The 21,305-nt window shown below is 37.2% G+C and overlaps 1 protein-coding gene across 25 annotated transcripts in view; it reads right to left on the reverse strand.

Annotated features, from left to right (window-relative positions):
• PDE1A (phosphodiesterase 1A) overlaps positions 1-21,305 on the reverse strand; it is a 576,757-nt gene that overhangs the window by 68,340 nt on the left and 487,112 nt on the right. For all 25 annotated transcript variants that reach the window (XR_007076388.1, XM_047444688.1, NM_001395258.2 and 22 more), the window contains one exon: positions 15,484-15,584. Coding sequence is in view for 24 of the 25 variants with exons in the window: in XM_047444688.1 (XP_047300644.1) it covers positions 15,484-15,584 (101 nt within the window). In the remaining variant the exon portion in view is untranslated. The remainder of the gene's footprint in view (positions 1-15,483; positions 15,585-21,305) is intronic.

Here is a 21,305-nt window from a genome sequence, read left to right on the forward strand (position 1 = left end):
CTTTTAAACCATCAGATCTCATGAGAATTCCCTCACTATTATGAGAACAGCATGGGAGAAGCTGTCCCTATGATCCAGTTACCTCCCAACAGGTCCCTCCCTCAAAACATGGGGATTACAATCTGAGATGAGATTTGGTGGGGACACGGAGCCAAACCATATCAGCCACTGTCTTTCAGACTCCAGAATGGTAAATCTACCGACAGCTTGCACTGTGCACATGGAAAAGCCACAGGCACTGGACGCCAGCCAGTGAAAGCAGCCATGGGGGCTGTACCCTGCAGAGCAACAGAGGTGGAGTGCCCAAGGCCGTAGGAGCACACCCCCTGCATCAGCATACCCTGAATATGAGACATGGAGTCAAAAAGATTATTTGGGGTCTTTAAGATTAAATAACTGCCCTGCTGGGGTTCAGACTTGCATGGGGCCTACAGTCCCTTTGTTTGGGCCAATTTCTCCCTTTCGGAATAGGAGCATTTACCCAATGCCTGTAACCCCATTATATCTCGGAAGTAACTAACTTGTTTTTCATTTTACAAGCTCATAGGTGGAAGGGACTTGCCTTGTCTCACATGAGGCTTTGGAGTTGGACTTTTGAGTTAATGCTGGAGTGAGTTAAGACTTTTGGGGACTGTTGGGAAGGCATGATTGGTTTTTTGAAATATGAGAAGGACATGTGATTCAGGAGGGGCCAGAAGTGGAATAATGTATTATTAGTCCATTTTCAAGCTGCTGATAAAGACATACCCAGGACTGGGCAATTTACAAAAGAAAGAGGTTTATTGGACTTACAGTTCCACATGGCTGGGGAGAGGCCTCACAATCATGGTGGAAGGTGAAAGGCAAGTCTCACATGGTGGCCGCAAGAGAGAGAATGAGAACCAAGTGAAACAGATTTCCCCTTATCCAACCATCAAATCTCGTGAGACTTATTCACTATCACGAGAACAGTATGGGGGAAACCACCCCCATGATTCAATTATCTCCCACTGGGTCTCTCCCACAACACATGGGAATTATGGGATTACAATTCAACATGAGATTTGGATGAGAGACACAGAGCCAAACCATATTATGAGCCAAATGTTGATTACAATTCAACATGAGATTTGGGTGGGGGACACAGAGCCAAGCATATTATTTGATATGGTTTGGATCTGTGTCCCCCGCCCAAATCTCATATTGAATTGTAATCTCCAGTACTGGTAGAGGGACCTGGTAGGAGGTGACTAGATCATGGGGGTGAGTATCCCGCTTGCTGTTCTCATGATAATGAGTGAGTTCTCATAAGATCTGGTTGCTGAAAAGTGTGCAGCACTTCCCCCTTCACTCCCTCTCTTGCCACCATGTGAAAATATGCTTGCTTCCCCTTCGCCCTTCTGCCACGACTGTAAGTTTCCTGAGGCCTCCCAGCCTCACCAGCCATGCCTTCTGTATGGCATCTGGAACTATGAGTCAATTGAACCTCTTTTCTTTATAAGTTATCCATTCTCTGCCAGCTTTTTATAGCAGTGTGAGAAGAAGATAATACAATTGGTTCCTTTCACTCAGTAATATGCATTCATGTTTCCTTCATGTCTTTTCACCGATTGATAGCTAATTTCCTTGCAGCACTCAAGTTTTCTTGTCTGCATATACCACAGTTTATTTATTCAGTCACCTACTGAAGGACATCTTGCTGGCTTCCAAGTTTTGGCAATTATGAATAAAGCTGCTATAAGTATCTGTGCTATAAGTTTTTGTGTGAATGTGTTTGTAATTTTTTTGAGTAAATACCAAGGAGTGCAATTCATGGATCATATGGTAAGAGTAGTTTCAATTTTGTAATAAATTGGTAAACTGTCTTCCAAAATGGCTATACCAGTTTTCATGCCTACTAGCAATAAATGAGAGTTCCTGCTGCTCCATTCTCACCAGCTTTTGGTGTTGTTAGTGTTATGGATTTTGGCCATTTTAATAGATGTGTATTGCCTATTGATCTATTTGGTATCTCATTGTTTCAATTTGGATTTCTCTGATGACATGATATGGAATATCTTTTCATATGCCTATTTGCCATTTGTATATCTTCCTAGCTGGAGTGACTGGTAAAGTTTTTGGTTCATTTTTAAATTAGGTTGTTAGTTTTCTTATTGTTGAGTTTTAAGCATTCTTTGTATATTTTGGATAACAGTGCTTTATCAGATGTTCTTTGCAAATATTTTCTTCCAGTCTGTGGCTTGTCTTTTTAGTCTCTTGATAGTGTCTTTGGTAGAGCATAAATTTTTAATTTTAATGAAATCCAACTTATCAATTTATTATTTCATATATTGTGCCTTTGATATTATATTTAAAAAGTCATCACCAAATCTAAGGTCATCTAGATTTTTCTTCTATGTAATCTTCTAGGAATTTTATAGATTTTTGTTTTAAATTTAGGTCTGTGATCCATTTTGAGTTAATTTTGTAAAGGGTATAAGGCCTGTGTCTTAGTGTGTTTTATGCTGATGTGACAGAATACCTGAGGCTGGGTAATTTATCAAAAAAAAAAAAGAAATTTATTTATCACAGTTCTTAACTGGAAAGTCAAAGATCAACATACCATCATCTCAGGAGGGCCTTCTTGCTGTATCATCAAATGGTGGAAAGCATCACATAGTAGAAAGGCAGAGAGTGCAAGAGAGCAAACCCTCTCTGGCAAGCCCCATTTTATAATGGCATTAATTTATTTATCAGGATAGAACACTCCTGACCTCAATACCTTCCAACCCTGTCACATTGGGAGTTATGTTTGCAACACATGAATTCTGGGAAACACATTCAAACCATAGCAGTTTGTGTCTAGATTCTTCTTTGCTTTTTGCTTTTGCATGTGGATGTTCAGTCGTGTTAGCACCATTTATTGAAAAGATTATTTTTGCTTCACTGTATTGCTTTTACTCCTTTGTCAAAGATCAGTTGACTATATTTTTTGTAGGTTCATTACTGGGCTCTCTACTCTTTTTCATTGATCTATTTGTCTGTCCTTTTATCAATACTACACTGTCTTGATTACTGTGGTTTTGTAGCAAGTCTTAAAGTTAGGTAGTGTCAGTCCTCCAACTTTGTGCTTCTCCTTTAAAACTGTGTTAGCTATTATGAGTCTTTTGCCTCTCCATACAAACTTTAGAATCACTTTGTCAGAATCATAAAATAACTTGCTGGTATTTTCATTGGGATTGGATTATATCTATAGATGAAGTTGCGAAGAACTGACATCCTGACAATTTTGAGTCTATCTATGAACATGAAATATCTGTCCCTGTATTACTTATTTCATCAAAGTTTTACAGTTTTTCTTATAAAGGTCTTGTATATGTTTTGTTCCATTTATACCTAAATATTTAATTTTGAGTGGTGCTAATGCAAATGATATTTGTGTTTCCAATTTCAAATTACATTTGTTTATTGCTGGCATATAGAAAAGCAATCGAGTTTTGTGTATTAACCTTGTATTTTGCAACCCTGCTATAATCACTTAGTTCCAGGAGTTTTTTGGTCAATTCTTCCAGATTTTCTACATGGACAATCATATCATCTGCAAACAAAGATAATTTTATTTCTCTCTTCCCAAGATTCATGGGAAGAGAGAAATTCCTTTTTCTAGTTGTATTGCATTAGTATTGCATACTTCCAGTATGATACAAAAATTAGTTGTGAGAGGGGACATCTTCCCTTGTTCACAATCTTAGTGGGAAAGCTTCAACTTTTTCACCATTAAGTATGATGTTAGTTGTAGGTTTTTTATAAATAGATAATTTTCTTTGAATTATTTACTTTTTAATTGACAATTAAAATTATATATATTACGTACGAGATAATGTCTTGAAACATATATATCTTTCTATATATATATATGTATACATTTATATATATATACACACACACACATAGTGGAATGGCTAACTCAGGCTAATTAACATATGTGTTACTTCACAATTTACCATTTTTTGAGGTGAGAACACTTAAAATCTACTCTTGGCAATCTTTTAGAATACAATACATTGGGGAGGAGCCAAGATGGCAGAATAGGAACAGCTCCGGTCTACAGCTCCCAGCGTGAGCGACGCAGAAGACGGTGATTTCTGCATTTCCATCTGAGGTACCGGGTTCATCTCAGTAGGGAGTGCCAGACAGTGGGCACAGGTCAGTGGGTGCGCGCACCGTGCGCAAGCCGAAGCAGGGCGAGGCATTGCCTCACTTGGGAAGCGCAAGGGGTCAGGGAGTTCCCTTTCCGAGTCAAAGAAAGGGGTGATGGACGGCACCTGGAAAATTGGGTCACTCCCACCCGAATACTGCGCTTTTCTGACGGGCTTAAAAAATGGCGCACCACGAGATTATATCCCGCACCTGGCTCGGAGGGTCCTATGCCCACAGAGTCTCGCTGATTGCTAGCACAGCAGTCTGAGATCAAACTGCAAGGCGGCAGGGAGGCCAGGGGAGGGGCGCCTGCCATTGCCCAGCCTTGATTAGGTAAACAAAGCAGCCGGGAAGCTCGAACTGGGTGGAGCCCACCACAGCTCAAGGAGGCCTGCCTGCCTCTGTAGGCCCCACCTCTGGGGGCAGGGCACAGACAAACAAAAAGACAGCAGTAACCTCTGCAGACTTAAATGTCCCTGTCTGACAGCTTTGAAGAGAGCAGTGGTTCTCCCAGCATGCAGCTGGAGATCTGAGAACGGGCAGACTGCCTCCTCAAGTGGGTCCCTGACCCCTGACCCCCGAGCAGCCTAACTGGGAGGCACCCCCCAGCAGGGGCAGACTGACACCTCACACGGCAGGGTATTCCAACAGACCTGCAGCTGAGGGTCCTGTCTGTTAGAAGGAAGACTAACAAACAGAAAGGACATCCACACCAAAAACCCATCTGTACATCACCATCATCAAAGACCAAAAGTAGATAAAACCACAAAGATGGGGAAAAAACAGAACAGAAAAACTGGAAACTCTAAAAAGCAGAGCGCCTCTCCTCCTCCAAAGGAACGCAGTTCCTCACCAGCAACGGAACAAAGCTGGATGGAGAATGACTTTGACAAGCTGAGAGAAGAAGGCTTCAGACGATCAAATTACTCTGAGCTACGGGAGGACATTCAAACCAAAGGCAAAGAAGTTGAAAACTTTGAAAAAAAATTTAGAAGAATGTATAACTAGAATAACCAATACAGAGAAGTGCTTAAAGGAGCTGATGGAGCTGAAAACCAAGGCTCGAGAACTACGTGAAGAATGCAGAAGCCTCAGGAGCCGATGTGATCAACTGGAAGAAAGGGTATCAGCGATGGAAGATGAAATGAATGAAATGAAGCGAGAAGGGAAGTTTAGAGAAAAAAGAATAAAAAGAAACGAGCAAAGCCTCCAAGAAATATGGGACTATGTGAAAAGACCAAATCTACGTCTGATTGGTGTACCTGAAAGTGACGGGGAGAATGGAACCAAGTTGGAAAACACTCTGCAGGATATTATCCAGGAGAACTTCCCCAATCTAGCAAGGCAGGCCAACGTTCACATTCAGGAAATACAGAGAACGCCACAAAGATACTCCTCGAGAAGAGCAACTCCAAGACACATAATTGTCAGAGTCACCAAAGTTGAAATGAAGAAAAAAATGTTAAGGGCAGCCAGAGAGAAAGGTCGGGTTACCCTCAAAGGGAAGCCCATCAGACTAACAGCGGATCTCTCGGCAGAAACCCTACAAGCCAGAAGAGAGTGGGGGCCAATATTCAACATTCTTAAAAGAATTTTCAACCCAGAATTTCATATCCAGCCAAACTAAGCTTCATAAGCGAAGGAGAAATAAAATACTTTACAGACAAGCAAATGCTGAGAGATTTTGTCACCACCAGGCCTGCCCTAAAAGAGCTCCTGAAGGAAGCACTAAACATGGAAAGGAACAACCAGTACCAGCCACTGCAAAATCATGCCAAATTGTAAAGACCATCGAGACTAGGAAGAAACTGCATCAACTAACGAGCAAAATAACCAGCCAACATCATAATGACAGGATCAAATTCACACATAACAATATTAACTTTAAATGTAAATGGACTAAATGCTCCAATGAAAAGACACAGACTGGCAAATTGGATAAAGAGTCAAGACCCATCAGTGTGAGGTATTCAGGAAACCCATCTCACATGCAGAGACACACATAGGCTCAAAATAAAAGGATGGAGGAAGATCTACCAAGCCAATGGAAAACAAAAAAAGGCAGGGGTTGCAATCCTACTCTCTGATAAAACAGACTTTAAACCAACAAAGATCAAAAGAGACAAAGAAGGCCATTACATAATGGTAAAGGGATCAATTCAACAAGAAGAGCTAACTATCCTAAATATATATGCACCCAATACAGGAGCATCCAGTTTCATAAAGCAAGTCCTGAGTGACCTACAAAGAGACTTAGACTCCCACACATTAATAATGGGAGACTTTAACACCCCACTGTCAACATTAGACAGATCAACGAGACAGAAAGTCAACAAGGATACCCAGGAATTGAACTCAGCTCTGCACCAAGCAGACCTAATAGACATCTACAGAACTCTCCACCCCAAATCAACAGAATATACATTTTTTTCAGCACCACACCACACCTATTCCAAAATTGACCACATACTGGGAAGTAAAGCTCTCCTCAGCAAATGTAAAAGAACAGAAATGATAACAAACTATCTCTCAGACCACAGTGCAATCAAACTAGAACTCAGGATTAAGAATCTCACTCAAAACCGCTCAACTACATGGAAACTGAACAACCTGCTCCTGAATGACTACTGGGTACATAACGAAATGAAGGCAGAAATAAAGATGTTCTTTGAAACCAACGAGAACAAAGACACAACATACCAGAATCTCTGGGACGCATTCAAAGCAGTGTGTAGAGGGAAATTTATAGCACTAAATGCCCACAAGAGAAAGCAGGAAAGATCCAAAATTGACACCCTAACCTCACAATTAAAAGAACTAGAAAAGCAAGAGCAAACGCATTCAAAAGCTAGCAGAAGGCAAGAAATAACTAAGATCAGAGCAGAACTGAAGGAAATAGAGACATAAAAAACCCTTCAAAAAATTAATGAATCCAGGAGCTGGTTTTTTGAAAGGATCAACAAAATTGACAGACCGCTAGCAAGACTAATAAAGAAAAAAAGAGAGAAGAATCTAATAGACGCAATAAAAAATGATAAAGGGGATATCACCACCGATTCCAAAGAAATACAAACTACCATCAGAGAATACTACAAACACCTCTACGCAAATAAACTAGAAAATCTAGAAGAAATGGATAAATTCCTCGACACATACACTCTCCCAAGACTAAACCAGGAAGAAGTTGAATCTCTGAATAGACCAATAACAGGATCTGAAATTGTGGCAATAATCAATAGCTTACCAACCAAAAAGAGTCCAGGACCAGATGGATTCACAGCCGAATTCTACCAGAGGTACAAGGAGGAACTGGTACCATTCCTTCTGAAACTATTCCAATCAATAGAAAAAGAGGGAATCCTCCCTAACTCATTTTATGAGGCTAGCATCATTCTGATACCAAAGCCAGGCAGAGACACAACAAAAAAAGAGAATTTTAGACCAATATCCTTGATGAACATTGATGCAAAAATCCTCAATAAAATACTGGCAAACCGAATCCAGCAGCACATCAAAAAGCTTATCCACCATGATCAAGTGGGCTTCATCCCTGGGATGCAAGGCTGGTTCAATATACGCAAATCAATAAATGTAATCCGGCATATAAACAGAGCCAAAGACAAAAACCACATGATTATCTCAATAGATGCAGAAAAAGCCTTTGACAAAATTCAACAACCCTTCATGCTAAAAACTCTCCATAAATTAGGTATTGATGGGACATATTTCAAAATAGTAAGAGCTATCTATGACAAACCCACAGCCAATATCATACTGAATGGGCAAAAACTGGAAGCATTCCCTTTGAAAACTGGCACAAGACAGGGATGCCCTCTCTCACCACTCCTATTCAACATAGTGTTGGAAGTTCTGGCCAGGGCAATTAGGCAGGAGAAGGAAATAAAGGGTATTCAATTAGGAAAAGAGGAAGTCAAATTGTCCCTGTTTGCAGACGACATGATTGTATATCTAGAAAACCCCATTGTCTCAGCCCAAAATCTCCTTAAGCTGATAAGCAACTTCAGCAAAGTCTCAGGATACAAAATCAATGTACAAAAATCACAAGCATTCTTATACACCAACAACAGACAAACAGAGAGCCAAATCATGAGTGAACTCCCATTCACAATTGCTTCAAAGAGAATAAAATACCTAGGAATCCAACTTACAAGGGATGTGAAGGACCTCTTCAAGGAGAACTACAAACCACTGCTCAAGGAAATAAAAGAGGATACAAACAAATGGAAGAACATTCCATGCTCATGGGTAGGAAGAATCAATATCATGAAAATGGCCATACTGCCCAAGGTAATTTACAGATTCAATGCCATCCCCATCAAGCTACCAATGACTTTCTTCACAGAATTGGAAAAAACTACTTTAAAGTTCATATGGAACCAAAAAAGAGCCCGCATCGCCAAGTCAATCCTAAGCCAAAAGAACAAAGCTGGAGGCATCACACTACCTGACTTCAAACTATACTACAAGGCTACAGTAACCAAAACAGCATGGTACTGGTACCAAAACAGAGATATAGATCAATGGAACAGAACACAGCCCTCAGAAATAATGCCGCATATCTACAACTATCTGATCTTTGACAAACCTGAGAAAAACAAGCAATGGGGAAAGGATTCCCTATTTAATAAATGGTGCTGGGAAAACTGGCTAGCCATATGTAGAAAGCTGAAACTGGATCCCTTCCTTATACCTTATACAAAAATCAATTCAAGATGGATTAAAGACTTAAATGTTAGACCTAAAACCATAAAAACCCTAGAAGAAAACCTAGGCATTACCATTCAGGACATAGGCATGGGCAAGGACTTCATGTCTAAAACACCAAAAGCAATGGCAACAAAAGACAAAATTGACAAATGGGATCTAATTAAACTAAAGAGCTTCTGCACAGCAAAAGAAACTACCATCAGAGTGAACAGGCAACCTACAAAATGGGAGAAAATTTTCGCAACCTACTCATCTGACAAAGGGCTAATATCCAGACTCTACAATGAACTCAAACAAATTTACAAGAAAAAAACAAACAACCCCATCAAAAAGTGGGCAAAGGACATGAACAGACACTTCTCAAAAGAAGACATTTATGCAGCCAAAAAACACATGAAAAAATGCTCATCATCACTGGCCATCAGAGAAATGCAAATCAAAACCACAATGAGATACCATCTCATACCAGTTAGAATGGCGATCATTAAAAAGTCAGGAAACAACAGGTGCTGGAGAGGATGTGGAGAAATAGGAACACTTTTACACTGTTGGTGGGACTGTAAACTAGTTCAACCATTGTGGAATTCAGTGTGGAGATTCCTCAGGGATCTAGAACTGGAAATACCATTCGACCCAGCCATCCCATTACTGGGTATATACCCAAAGGACTATAAATCATGCTGCTATAAAGACACATGCAAACGTATGTTTATTGCGGCACTATTCACAATAGCAAAGACTTGGAACCAACCCAAATGTCCAACAATGATAGACTGGATTAAGAAAATGTGGCACATATACACCATGGAATACTATGCAGCCATAAAAAATGATGAGTTCATGTCCTTTGTAGGGACATGGATGAAATTGGAAAACATCATTCTCAGTAAACTATCCCAAGAACAAAAAACCAAACACCGCATATTCTCACTCATAGGTGGGAATTGAACAATGAGAACACATGGACACAGGAAGGGGAACATCACACTCTGGGGACTGTTGTGGGGTCGGGGGAGGGGGGAGGGATAGCATTGGGAGATATACCTAATGCTAGATGACGAGTTAGTGGGTGCAGTGCACCAGCATGGCACATGTATACATATGTAACTAACCTGCACAATGTGCACATGTTCCCTAAAACTTAAAGTATAATAAAAAATTAAAAAAACAAGAAAAAAAAGAATACAATGCATTGTTATTAACTCTAGTTGACACATTGTACAATAGATCTCTTGAACTTATTTATCCCATCTAACTGAAATTATGTATCCTTTGACCAACATCTTCCTAACTTTTATCTCCACCCCAGTCCCTCATAACCACAATTCTACTCTAGTATAGATATTCTTTATCAAGTTAAGGAAGGTCCTCTCTATTCCTAGTTGGAGTTTATATCATAAACGTGGGTTGGAATGTTTTGTAAAATGCTTTTTCTGCATTTATTGATAAGATCATGTGATTTTTTTCCTGTATACCCTGTTGATGTGGTAGATTATATTAGTTGAATTATGAATGTTGAGCCAGACTTGCATACCTGGGATAAACCCCACTTAGTTGTGGTGCTTAGCGTTGTTTTAATTATCATTATTATAGTTTAAATGTGTTTATGGCTTTTCCTTCTGATTTGTAATCCAGACACCTGCAAAATACTCTAGATATATCAAAGTGAATAAAATTACCTAACGTCTTATTCAGTCAGTGAATGAACAAACCCCTTTGTACCCATTCAAGAGTGTTGATACCATCCCTGTTCCTTTAAACTAAAATTACTTTGGGTAGCAGGTGAAGGGGATGATGAAAATCATTTGATCTATTTATGATTCTAGTTTTTTACTCTCTTATAATGTGATTAAATTTTATTGTTATAGATCCTTTTGCTTTAAAATTAAGATAGAAAAGTCGTTTTTAAAGAAAACTTAAAATGTATGCTTCATCACCCATTTAAAAGGAAGATTTTATTTTTAAAATGATGAATACATCAAGGGAAGGCTTTTATTTCTCACCTGTCTGTATTTTAATATAATTTTATTATGAAATAAATTGGTATACTTCAAGTTGCATTGATGAATTTGGTATTCTAACTTTAAGCCTGAAATATTTCAAGCATTCTCAGATCTGTATAATGGAACCTGGGCTTGTCCTTCCTCTATCCTCCTAGGTTGCCAGATCATTATGCAAGTGTGGAATGGAAGCAAAATCACTATGTTCAATCTCTTAAAATGGTGAACTCGTTCATATAAGTTGGCAAGTTGAATATTGACAACAAATATAGCAAAAAAGAAAGTCAAGTTAAAACTTGTAGCAAGTTTGCTACCACTTACCCAACACCGAGGCTTCTCTCACTCTCCTATCTCCTGGTAGATACTTAATGCTGTCAAGTGTAAAACTGCCTCACTCCAGACTTACTGTTTCAGGCTTTTCAGTGGGTAAAGTCCTAGTTATAACCTAGCACTGGCCCTGCCACTGAATATTTATGATAGAGTAGACAAGGACAAAATAAAAAATGAAAAGTTCCCACTAAAACAACACCACCACCACCACACATGGATAGCTATGTGAGATGATGGATATATTAATTTGCTTCTGTATAATAATCATTTTACTATCTGTATCTTATCATGTTATATACCATAAATGTACACAATAAAAACTATTTAATAACAACAGAGAAAACAAAAACTAAAGAAATCTGGCATTTTATACAAGCAGCCTGTTTAAGATCTGTGTCTGATAGTCTGCCAGATAAACCAAGCTTTATTATTCATCCAACATATGATAAATGACCTACCAGGCACTATTACTTTCTTTTTTTTTCTAGCACTATCATAAAGATGAAATAATATATGTCTTTAATAGCACATATTTCTAAAATAGATTTCCATTTAATAATCTTAGTTAAGGCCTAAAAAGGATTTAATGAATAATCATACCTCAATATACAGAAATATGAACTAGCAAAGCACATGTATAATTCTCATTGAAGAGATAATTGAAGAGATGTTTCCCAAGCAAAACACTGTGTGCATTTCTAGAAGTTTGCTGAGATCATGGGGAAAGCTGTGATTTTCCAGTAACATTTGCACTATATGGCACCAAATCTAGCCATAGCAGATTTGTCAGGGTTATTACATGATATGGCTCCAAGCATCACCATCTACTCTTTCAGAAACAAGCTAAAATGTGTTTTTGAACCAGATTTAATTGTAGCAAAGTATGCATGATTTTGTCTCATAAAGCTAACAAGGATGCTGAGAATGCAGCATGGTCTAATGTTTGAGATGGTCTTTGACTGCTAAGAAAAGAACAGACTCTGAGCAACATCCAGTATCCATGGTAACATGTAGCCTGGCATTTTCTTTTCACAAAGAGGAAATTATTTCCATTTATTTACACTTTCAAGGATTTCATGCATTATAATATCTGCATTGAACTCAAATCTAGCCTTGCCCTATGTTCCAAATCGCATTTTAGCCATTTTGTATTATGTAGTAAATTAGTTTCCAGATTGGAAAAAACACTCTCAATCCAAGTAACAATGAATAATATAAAATAAAATAGAATTAGTGATATAAATGACATATGACCTTATTTCATCTTGGATGAAGGCAATATTGAGAGTTAAAAATCATGTTATATTGTTGCATTTTGGTCATTACAACATTTTGGTTCATGGAATTTTCAAGTTCATGTAGAATTAATTCATTAAATAGTTGACCCTGTTAGACAATTTTTTCCCATTTTTATACAGAGTTTTAAAATATAAATTGAAAAAAACATGATTCTTCTTTTTCCTTCTCTGCCCCCATCTACCCCTTCTTGTCCTCCTCTTCCTTGTCATCCCCCTCCTTTCCTCCACCACCTCCTCCTCCCTCTCCACAGCCAAATGCATAAGTAAATCAGGACTCTTCATCCACTTGCAGATGAATAGTAAAGGGAGAAAGCTAGAGTGATGATCTAACACTGCTGCTGGAAGAGGCCAGCCCACTGGCCTTTACTTTTCAAAGTCGAAAGGGCAACTGGCATTCACTGATAACAAATCACTTGCTTTCTTCTCAAACCCCTAGAACTGTTTTCCTGTACAGAGCCCAGCTCAGTGATGAGCGATCTTTAATTAAAATCCTCCACATCGTGGATCCAGTGGATGTAGAGAGCCTTTGTTAAGCAAAATGATCTGCATAGTCTTGTTTTCCTTTGACATTAAATACAAATAAAAGCAAAAATCTCCCTATACTCTGCAAATATGGGTAGAAAAACAACATTCCTGCTACATAACCAGACTCTGACGTTTTCCTTTTCCCTCCAAACTGTATCAATCTCTGGGACCCTGGGGTTTCCTCCATTCCAGGGACAGACAGAATGCCCTCCCCAACACTTCACTGTTTGAATTGCAACTCTTCCTCTGTCTCCATCAAGGGGCTACAATGTGTAAGCCCACCCCATTTCAGGCTTTAACAGCTTGGAATTATCATGTGTCCATCTCTGGCTGTGGGAGCAGACTTATATAAGAACTGGATTGACAGTGAGTGTCCCTTTTCTCACTCCTCAATTCTGCCACTGCCATCACCTGACCAAGTGCATATAGACAGGTCACTCTACCTCTCGAGGTCTTCATTTTCTATTTTTAGATGACGGATATCAGACCAGATGATCTATACTGTGGATCTCACTCATCTTAGGGTCCTTTAAGTTCTAAAGTGTCTAATATTTTAATAAACTGTTTCTATATTCCCCACATCAAACAATAACTCCCACATCTGGAAAATCAGTTGTTAAAAATATATATATATTAAAAAACCAAATGAACTGACCACACAAGAGCCTGCACATGTATGCTTATATCAGTATTATTCATAAGTGCCCAAATTTGGAAACAACCAAGATTTGCTTTAATAGGTGAATAGATAAACAAACTATGGTATGTCCATGTAATGGAATAGTATTCAGTGATAAGAAATAAGCTGTCAACCATGAAAAGACATGGAGGAACATTAAACACATTCTTCTAAATGAAATAACCCAGTCTGAAAGAATTATATACTGTATTATTTCAGCTCTATGACATTTTGGAAAAGGCAAAACTAAAGAGACATTAAAGAGACCAGTGGTTGCCAGGGGTAAAGGGGCAGGAAGAGAGGAATGATAGCTGAAGCACAGGAGACTTTTAGGGCCGTGAAACTATTGTGTGTGATACTGCAATGGTAGATACATGACATTATACATTTGTCAAAACCCATAGAACCCATAATGCAAAGAGTGAACCTTCATATAAACAATGGAACTTAGTTAATAACAATGTATCGATACTGGTTAATCAATTGTAACAAATATCTCACACCAGTGTAAGATGTTAATAACAACGAAACTTTAAGGTAGCAGGAGGAAGCATATGGAACTCATGCAACTCTGTACTTCCTGTTCGATTTTTCTGTGAATCTAAAACTGCTCTAAGAAATAAAGTCTATTAATTAGAAAAAAAAATCAGATCTAATCTTTCCTCAACAAGAATGGAGATTTATGCAGTGGTTCAAGAGAGACATCAGCTCTTAACATATATCTCCTTATTAAGCATCCTGACTAGTAAAAGAGAAATTTCAGGATCCCACACATGTAAAGTAAGTTGGATCCTGATGGGGCCTAGACCAAATCCTGCTTCTCAGATACTGACTTCTGTGCCTAACTAAAAAGAGGTTAGGGTAACTCTCTGTTATGGACTGAATTGTGTCTGCCCTAAAATTCATGTGTTGAAGCCCTAACTCTCAGTGTGTCTGTATTTGGAGACAGGGCTATTAAGGGTGTAATTAAAGTTAATGAAGTAACAAGAGTGGGGCCCAAGTCCGTTATGACTGGTGTCCATATAAGAAGAGGAAGAGACACTGGGGTGCATGTGCTCAGAGAAAAGACCATGTGAAGACACAGCAAAAAGGGTGTTGTCTGTAAGTCAAGAAGAGCAACCTCAGAGGAAACCAAACCAGCTGACACTGTGATCCTGTACTCCTAGCATCCATAATTGTGAAAAAATAAATTCATGTTGTTTAAGCCACCCATTCTGTGGTATTTTGTTATGGCAGCCCTAACAGACTAACATACTTCTACTCTGGTATTTGATTTAAATAACTTCCATTGTAACCATCATCAAATAATTTCATTTTCTAGTTATTTTAAATTTAATACTTCATGTTGGCCTGAAAATGAGATTTAATTTTTGGATTTTGTTTTCAGAAGTACACTCGTATTACTTTCAAATACATAATGACACCAAACCAGTACCTTAAGCATTATGTTGCAAGATTTGCCTCAGTGAATAGATGTCTGACTTGTGTGGTAGTTCACAGTGTAAGTTCTGGGCAGAGACAGATTGTCTTAAACATTTTCATGTTCTTTAAATTGCTAGATATGCCACAAAATACTATACACAAGATTCTTAAAAAATAGTAGTTAATTGATTCAATTGTTAGCAGCTTAAGAAATTTTGCTAAAAATTAATTAAACCTGTTCTTATTAGAATCTTTATTATTTTTTAAAAATCCTCTTAAGTGATATGCAGAAAAATAAATTTCAAATTTTAACTAATGAAAGTTAATACTTTTTCAGACTTACCTTGTCTGAATGTGAAAGTTGTTTGTTGTCCCTGTATGCTCATAATCATGAATGGCAGCAGCAAAGACCATTGCTAAAATTTCCAGTTCAGTGAGCCAGTGCTAGTAAATTACAGAAAGAATCCATTATATTCAAGAAGTAGATAACATCTTTCCTTTCTTTGAAAAGGACTTTCAGTGCACCCTGTTTATGTAATCATATAAAATTATTTTTCATTTCTTTTAATTTGTTTCCTATTTTACCTCCACTAATTGTGCAAGATGGATGCTTCATGAAGTCAATGATTGTTTCATGGCATATAAGTTCAAAATTCAGAATATAATTGTCCTTGCTAATTGAAAAAGGAGTAGTTTTCTATGATTTAAAAGGTGAACCCTAACTGGATTTTGAATTTACAGCCATACATGTTTGGGTTCTTCTGAAATCAATTACAGTTTGGTGATTTTTATCATACAGCTCATACATTATTAAAATGTCTTTTAGCCCAAGTGTTGTAGAACAATCTACTATGAAAAAAAATTTCATCTAAAAATTAAAAATATTCACTTTCTTACTAGAGAAAGTGCACTTCATTTTCATGTTTAGAGATTTAGAAGTTTCTGAAATTCACAAATTTTTCTATTCATAACACATAAAAATGGCTGTGCAATTAACTTCAATAATGTTAAAAGAAAGAATAAATGCTTTCATGTAAAAATCCATGACTATCCGCTTTACATACATTCATCTTTCAGTTACTAACTAGATGCTTTAACAAAAGTTCCCTGCTATTTTTAGTTCATTTAGAAATAATTCAATAGTTTTTTCATCACTCATATTTTGTAAAACCCTTATACTGTACTACCCAATATGGTAACCACATGTGACTGTTTAAGTTAAAAATAAAGAAAATTAAGTAAAATTAAATTCACTTTCCCAGTTACACTAGCCACATTACATATGCCCATTGGTCACATGTGACAAGTGGTTACCATACAGAACAGCACAGACACAAAACATTTCCATCACCACAGCAAGTTCTACTAGAGAACACTATAAATAGATGGCACTTGATGGTACGAATGCGGAATCCAAAATGCTATGACACTCACTCTGAGTGGTCTTATTCTGTACACTTAAAACAATAAAAGACTTTGCGAAAAACAACAGAAAGAGATCATGTAAACTATGTGCACACTTGATAAAAGTTTGCAGAATAAAGATGCAATTTAAGAGCCTAGAGAGAAAGGCTAATTGGTGGCAGTAGATCTTGGGAAAAGGCTGGAAAAAGGCTGATAGTTAAGTGCAAGGATGGAGACAGAAGAATTTCAAATAGAAAGAGCAAATGTAGAATCATACTATAGGGTCTGTATTAAAATAGAATTGTCAATAGTACAATCGTGTTGGAGAATCAAGTGAAGTGTAACTGAAGAATATGGAGAGTATGGAAAGAGTTAATGGACTAATTTGATGAGAATTGATGAATTTAAATTTTGTGTAAAAGGTAAAAGAAAGCCATTGTAGGTCCATGAGTCAAAAATGAAGGCAGTGACAATTGTTGAATCTCATAGGTACCAAAGGTATAATCTTATTAATCTTAGCTCCCTTCACATAACCTATCATGATATTCGGCACATATTAGGAACTTAGTATTTGTTTGTTAAATTGTAGTTTTGCATTAAAAAGAGGCAACAGTGGTAAGAGACCATGGAATCAGTCCTGGTTTTAAATCTCTGTTAATCCTCAGGAAAATAAGTTATTTACCCTCTTAGCTACAGTTGTGGTGAAAATGGCATTAGTAATCTTTCCCCTATGGGGTTTAAAAAGAAGTTTTGGGTTAATGTATGCACTGCACCTATCATGTCTTGTCATATGGTAAAATAAAGAATAAATGGCATTTTGCTAGGAACTTACTATGTTAAATGAATTGATAAAGGCATTAAATCTGGGAAATAATAGCTAACATATCATTAGTGATTGTAATTCATGTACAAATGCCTCACAACTGGATGAGTGAAGCAGAAATAATTTTCAGAGCCAAAAGAAGTTAATATAACTAGCTGTTCTGTGTTCATAGACACATTTAATTGTGAGTCATTAAAAGGAAGAAAGTTACCTTATAGAGGTCTGAATTGGGATTGAGCCTCCAATGTTCCCAATGAAACTATGGAACTAAACACCATGAAATGAATAGCAATTGAAGTTAAACTAGTTTTGTACCCTAGAAACCCATTGTTTTATTAAAGAAAATGGAAAAAAACCACTTATTTAAATTTTTGAGTGGGTTCAAATTATGTATTTATAAATATAGCTGTGGTTTTAAAAAAGGCAGCATTCATTATCTACTATGATAACACAGAATATAAACTGTCAATAGTAAAAAGAAATTAAATTAGAAAATCAGAGATGGAATTAATTAGTGATTGACTCATAAATATTTACAATTATTATCTTGCTAGCTGTGAAAATTTATTATAAATACATTTCCTGTTTTTACTTTGGTTCATTTCTGCCTCCCATAAATAGTACTTTCTCCACAAATCCCCCTTACTTATTTCTGCACTATGGACTATATCATTAAGTTCCACTACAAACTAATATAGGAAGAGAGGAAACACTGAACTTTCACACTTAATTTAAAAACACATCTACTTTGCATTAGCAAAAGTAGAATTCTGGACTGATTGTTAGTTCCTTAGCTGCTGATTCATTTTGTGCTGGTATCAGAAGGAATTCTAACTCAGAAAACAGGTGCTTAAATTCATAAATTTTATAAATGACTCCTGAGGGCAAGCCAGAGAGAACGAGGTTAAATCCTGTCACTCTTCCCAACTACAGCACTGGTCAATACAAATCCAAGGTTCTTCTGATTCCTAATAGGCAGAAATAAAGGGTTAAGAGGATAAATCATGAGCAATGCAACACTGTATTTCATCAGAATTTTAGGTTGTATTTTGTCTGCAGAAATGCTCAGGTTGGCTTACTCTAGAGCGGGCAGTCATCAACTTATAAGGAGGTATTGACTGCTATTAATAACATGTATTATAACAGAAACAAAGGAAGGGAATTAACATTAACTGGACACTTTAGTTAGCTGATCTCATTTAATTCTTAAAACCACTTTATAAGATGGTTATAGGTAAATATTTTTATGCCTATGTTGCAGAAAACAAAGCTGAATCCTAGAGAAATGGATCAACATGTCAAAGGTCACATACGTATCTAGCGGCAGAGCAGGAATGCAAACCCAAATCTGTCTGATTTCAAAGTTTCTATTTTTTCAACGGATCACAATAGCATTCATTACATAAAGAAGGCAATATGCTGAACACATGCTTCTAAGGTTTCAAAAGTAGGATTTCTAGCTAATTTTAGTATATGAATGGGTAGAAGCTAATAGAGTTTTGACTTAGGACTTAAAATGTAATTTTCATGTCTGAATTACTCAGGATGTGTGAGTGTGTGCCTGTGGGACAGAAAAAGTAAATATGTGTATTATACAAAGTATGTATGTGTATTATATAAAGGGTGGGGAGAATTTCAAGTCAGAAAATCACATTTATTTCTTGATTCCTTGTGTATCTAAAAACACATAATTAACAATTCTTTTAGCTAGAATTTATGAGGTTTGACACTATTTTTCTCTATTCCTTTGAATAGGCTGAAGAAGTTTGCTGTAAGTTACCAGTATAGAAAATTGGCATATTACAATTAATTAATTAAGGTATGTTAATAGCTATTATGTTTTAGGCACTAGGTTAGGTGCCTTGCAAATGTTTTATTTACTCCTCATTGCCATTCTATAAGGTGGCTGGTATTATTAACTGCATTTTAGTGACAAGGGAAGCAATGTAGAGCTAGTGAATTAGAAAGTGGTGGGGCATGGTTTTAAACTCGTGTCTGACTGCTTCCTGAGTCCATGCTCTCTTTCCTCTTCCAAACAGTATCATATTGGAAGCCATTTATAAGAACAGAATTTCCACATAATTTGTAGAAAGATATAGTACTAAATGTTCTGTAGACTGATCAGAGAAAAATGCAGTCATTCCAAAGTGTGGAAGACTGTTTCTGTGTAGTCAGTGCACTAAAAATTCCAAAGGAACTAGATTTACAGTCATCTCTCCTCCTTCTACTCTTAGTATTAGAGAGAACGCAGTGCCAGGAGCCCTCTAATGCAAATGTTTTCTGGCCAAGGCCCTTGTATAATTCCATGTTCAAAGAGACATTTGAAGGTGACTTGACAGCACTTTATAAAACATTTGCTCCTTAGCAAATGGACTGAGTTACTGTGCATCACTGTCACCATGGCACAGGACTACAAATGTATCAAGTGACAAAAGGAGAGAGATAGGGGGACAAGCAGGTGTATGAGCATCAACTCTCCTCGGCATTGTCTACATCCAGACTTGAGGGCGTCCCTTATGACATTAACAAACAGAAGGACAATGGCTTAATTGCAATCCCTTTCAGGAATGGTCCTTAAAACATCTTGCAGATGACAACATGCATTAGTCTCCTGACAGTACTGGGCTGCTACTAGAGTGCTTCATAAATGTCACACTGATAGGGCCACCCTGAAATAGCAGGGCATCAACTAAAACACTAAAGTAGATGGCCCAGTCTTCTTTATATCAAATCTGAGGGGTGAGAAAGAACTAAAGATTTTTTCCTAATGAAAATTTCTATAAAGCTTTTTTGTTTCAAAGAACCAACACATTCATATACATGAAATTTAATAGTCACCTATCACTACTTTTTAATGTAGAGAAAACTTGTTAAAATAACTTTCCAAAAATTGTCAAGCTGACAGTGTAACCTAGTTTAGACAAAATAGTCAATACATTCATAAACTCATGTTGTCTTCCCTTTCTCCATCTATGGTAAAAGTTCTCATTATTCTCTTTAGTTCAAAGGTATTTTCTTGGTTCTGGAAAACACTAAAGGTCTACCACCAGACTATTTTTGTAATGGTTAAATTAATGGATGAGTAAAGAGGCCAGTGACACATTTTTGCTAAAGGATGAATAAAATCAGAAAGTTACATTTATATTTGGTAAGTCATAGCTGTCTCAGAAAGTGACTATGTGATCTTTGCTAACAACTTTAACTTTCTAGGAGTCATGCGAGGCTGGGCCAAATTCCCTAGTCTTACAGAGAAGTTGGAACGGCTTATTTGGTCCCATAACAGTCTTCCTTATAATTCTGAGGGTAAAACCACATTGTGGATTTGATTTTCTCTATTTACCAATTAATATGACACCCACATCTCTTCAATGTCACCTTCACACCAGGTGAAGCTGATATAGTAGACTTTTATTTGGCTCCCTTTACACTTGTAGCAAGTGTAAAAAAAATGCATTCAAGCAGGAATTTTTTTTTAAATGATGAAATTCTGGTTGCCTCCTAGGCTGAAATGGCATTTTCTCACTGCACTTCACGATTAAAGCAGGTGCTAGGATTTAGAAATCTCACATGGCCTGCTCCTTTTTTGAACCCAGCTCAGTTTTGCACCTTCACAGGAAGGTCAGTTCCTCACTTTTTACCTTCTGGGAATCATCCTGAGTTCTAAGACATTACAAAAATTCCCAACTCTCTCAGAGTTCCTGTCATACACTCACTGTTATTTCAGGCTTTGCATCACTGAATCGTTTAGTCACCCATTCACTGATTCATCAAATGCAAAGAAGAGGAAGGAAATTTTGCAAAAATTGACATTAATAATTTCCCCAAATCCCTATTAGAATTTGACTGTGATTAGTAATATGAGTAAGAGAGCAAAAGCGACTAAGGTCAGGTTAGGAGCACATAAGGAATGAGAAAAAGAGTGCTATAACTTTCTTTCT

The sequence above is a fragment of the Homo sapiens genome, chromosome 2 (genome assembly GCF_000001405.40).
Source record: "Homo sapiens chromosome 2, GRCh38.p14 Primary Assembly".
NCBI classification, from domain to species: domain Eukaryota; kingdom Metazoa; phylum Chordata; class Mammalia; order Primates; family Hominidae; genus Homo; species Homo sapiens.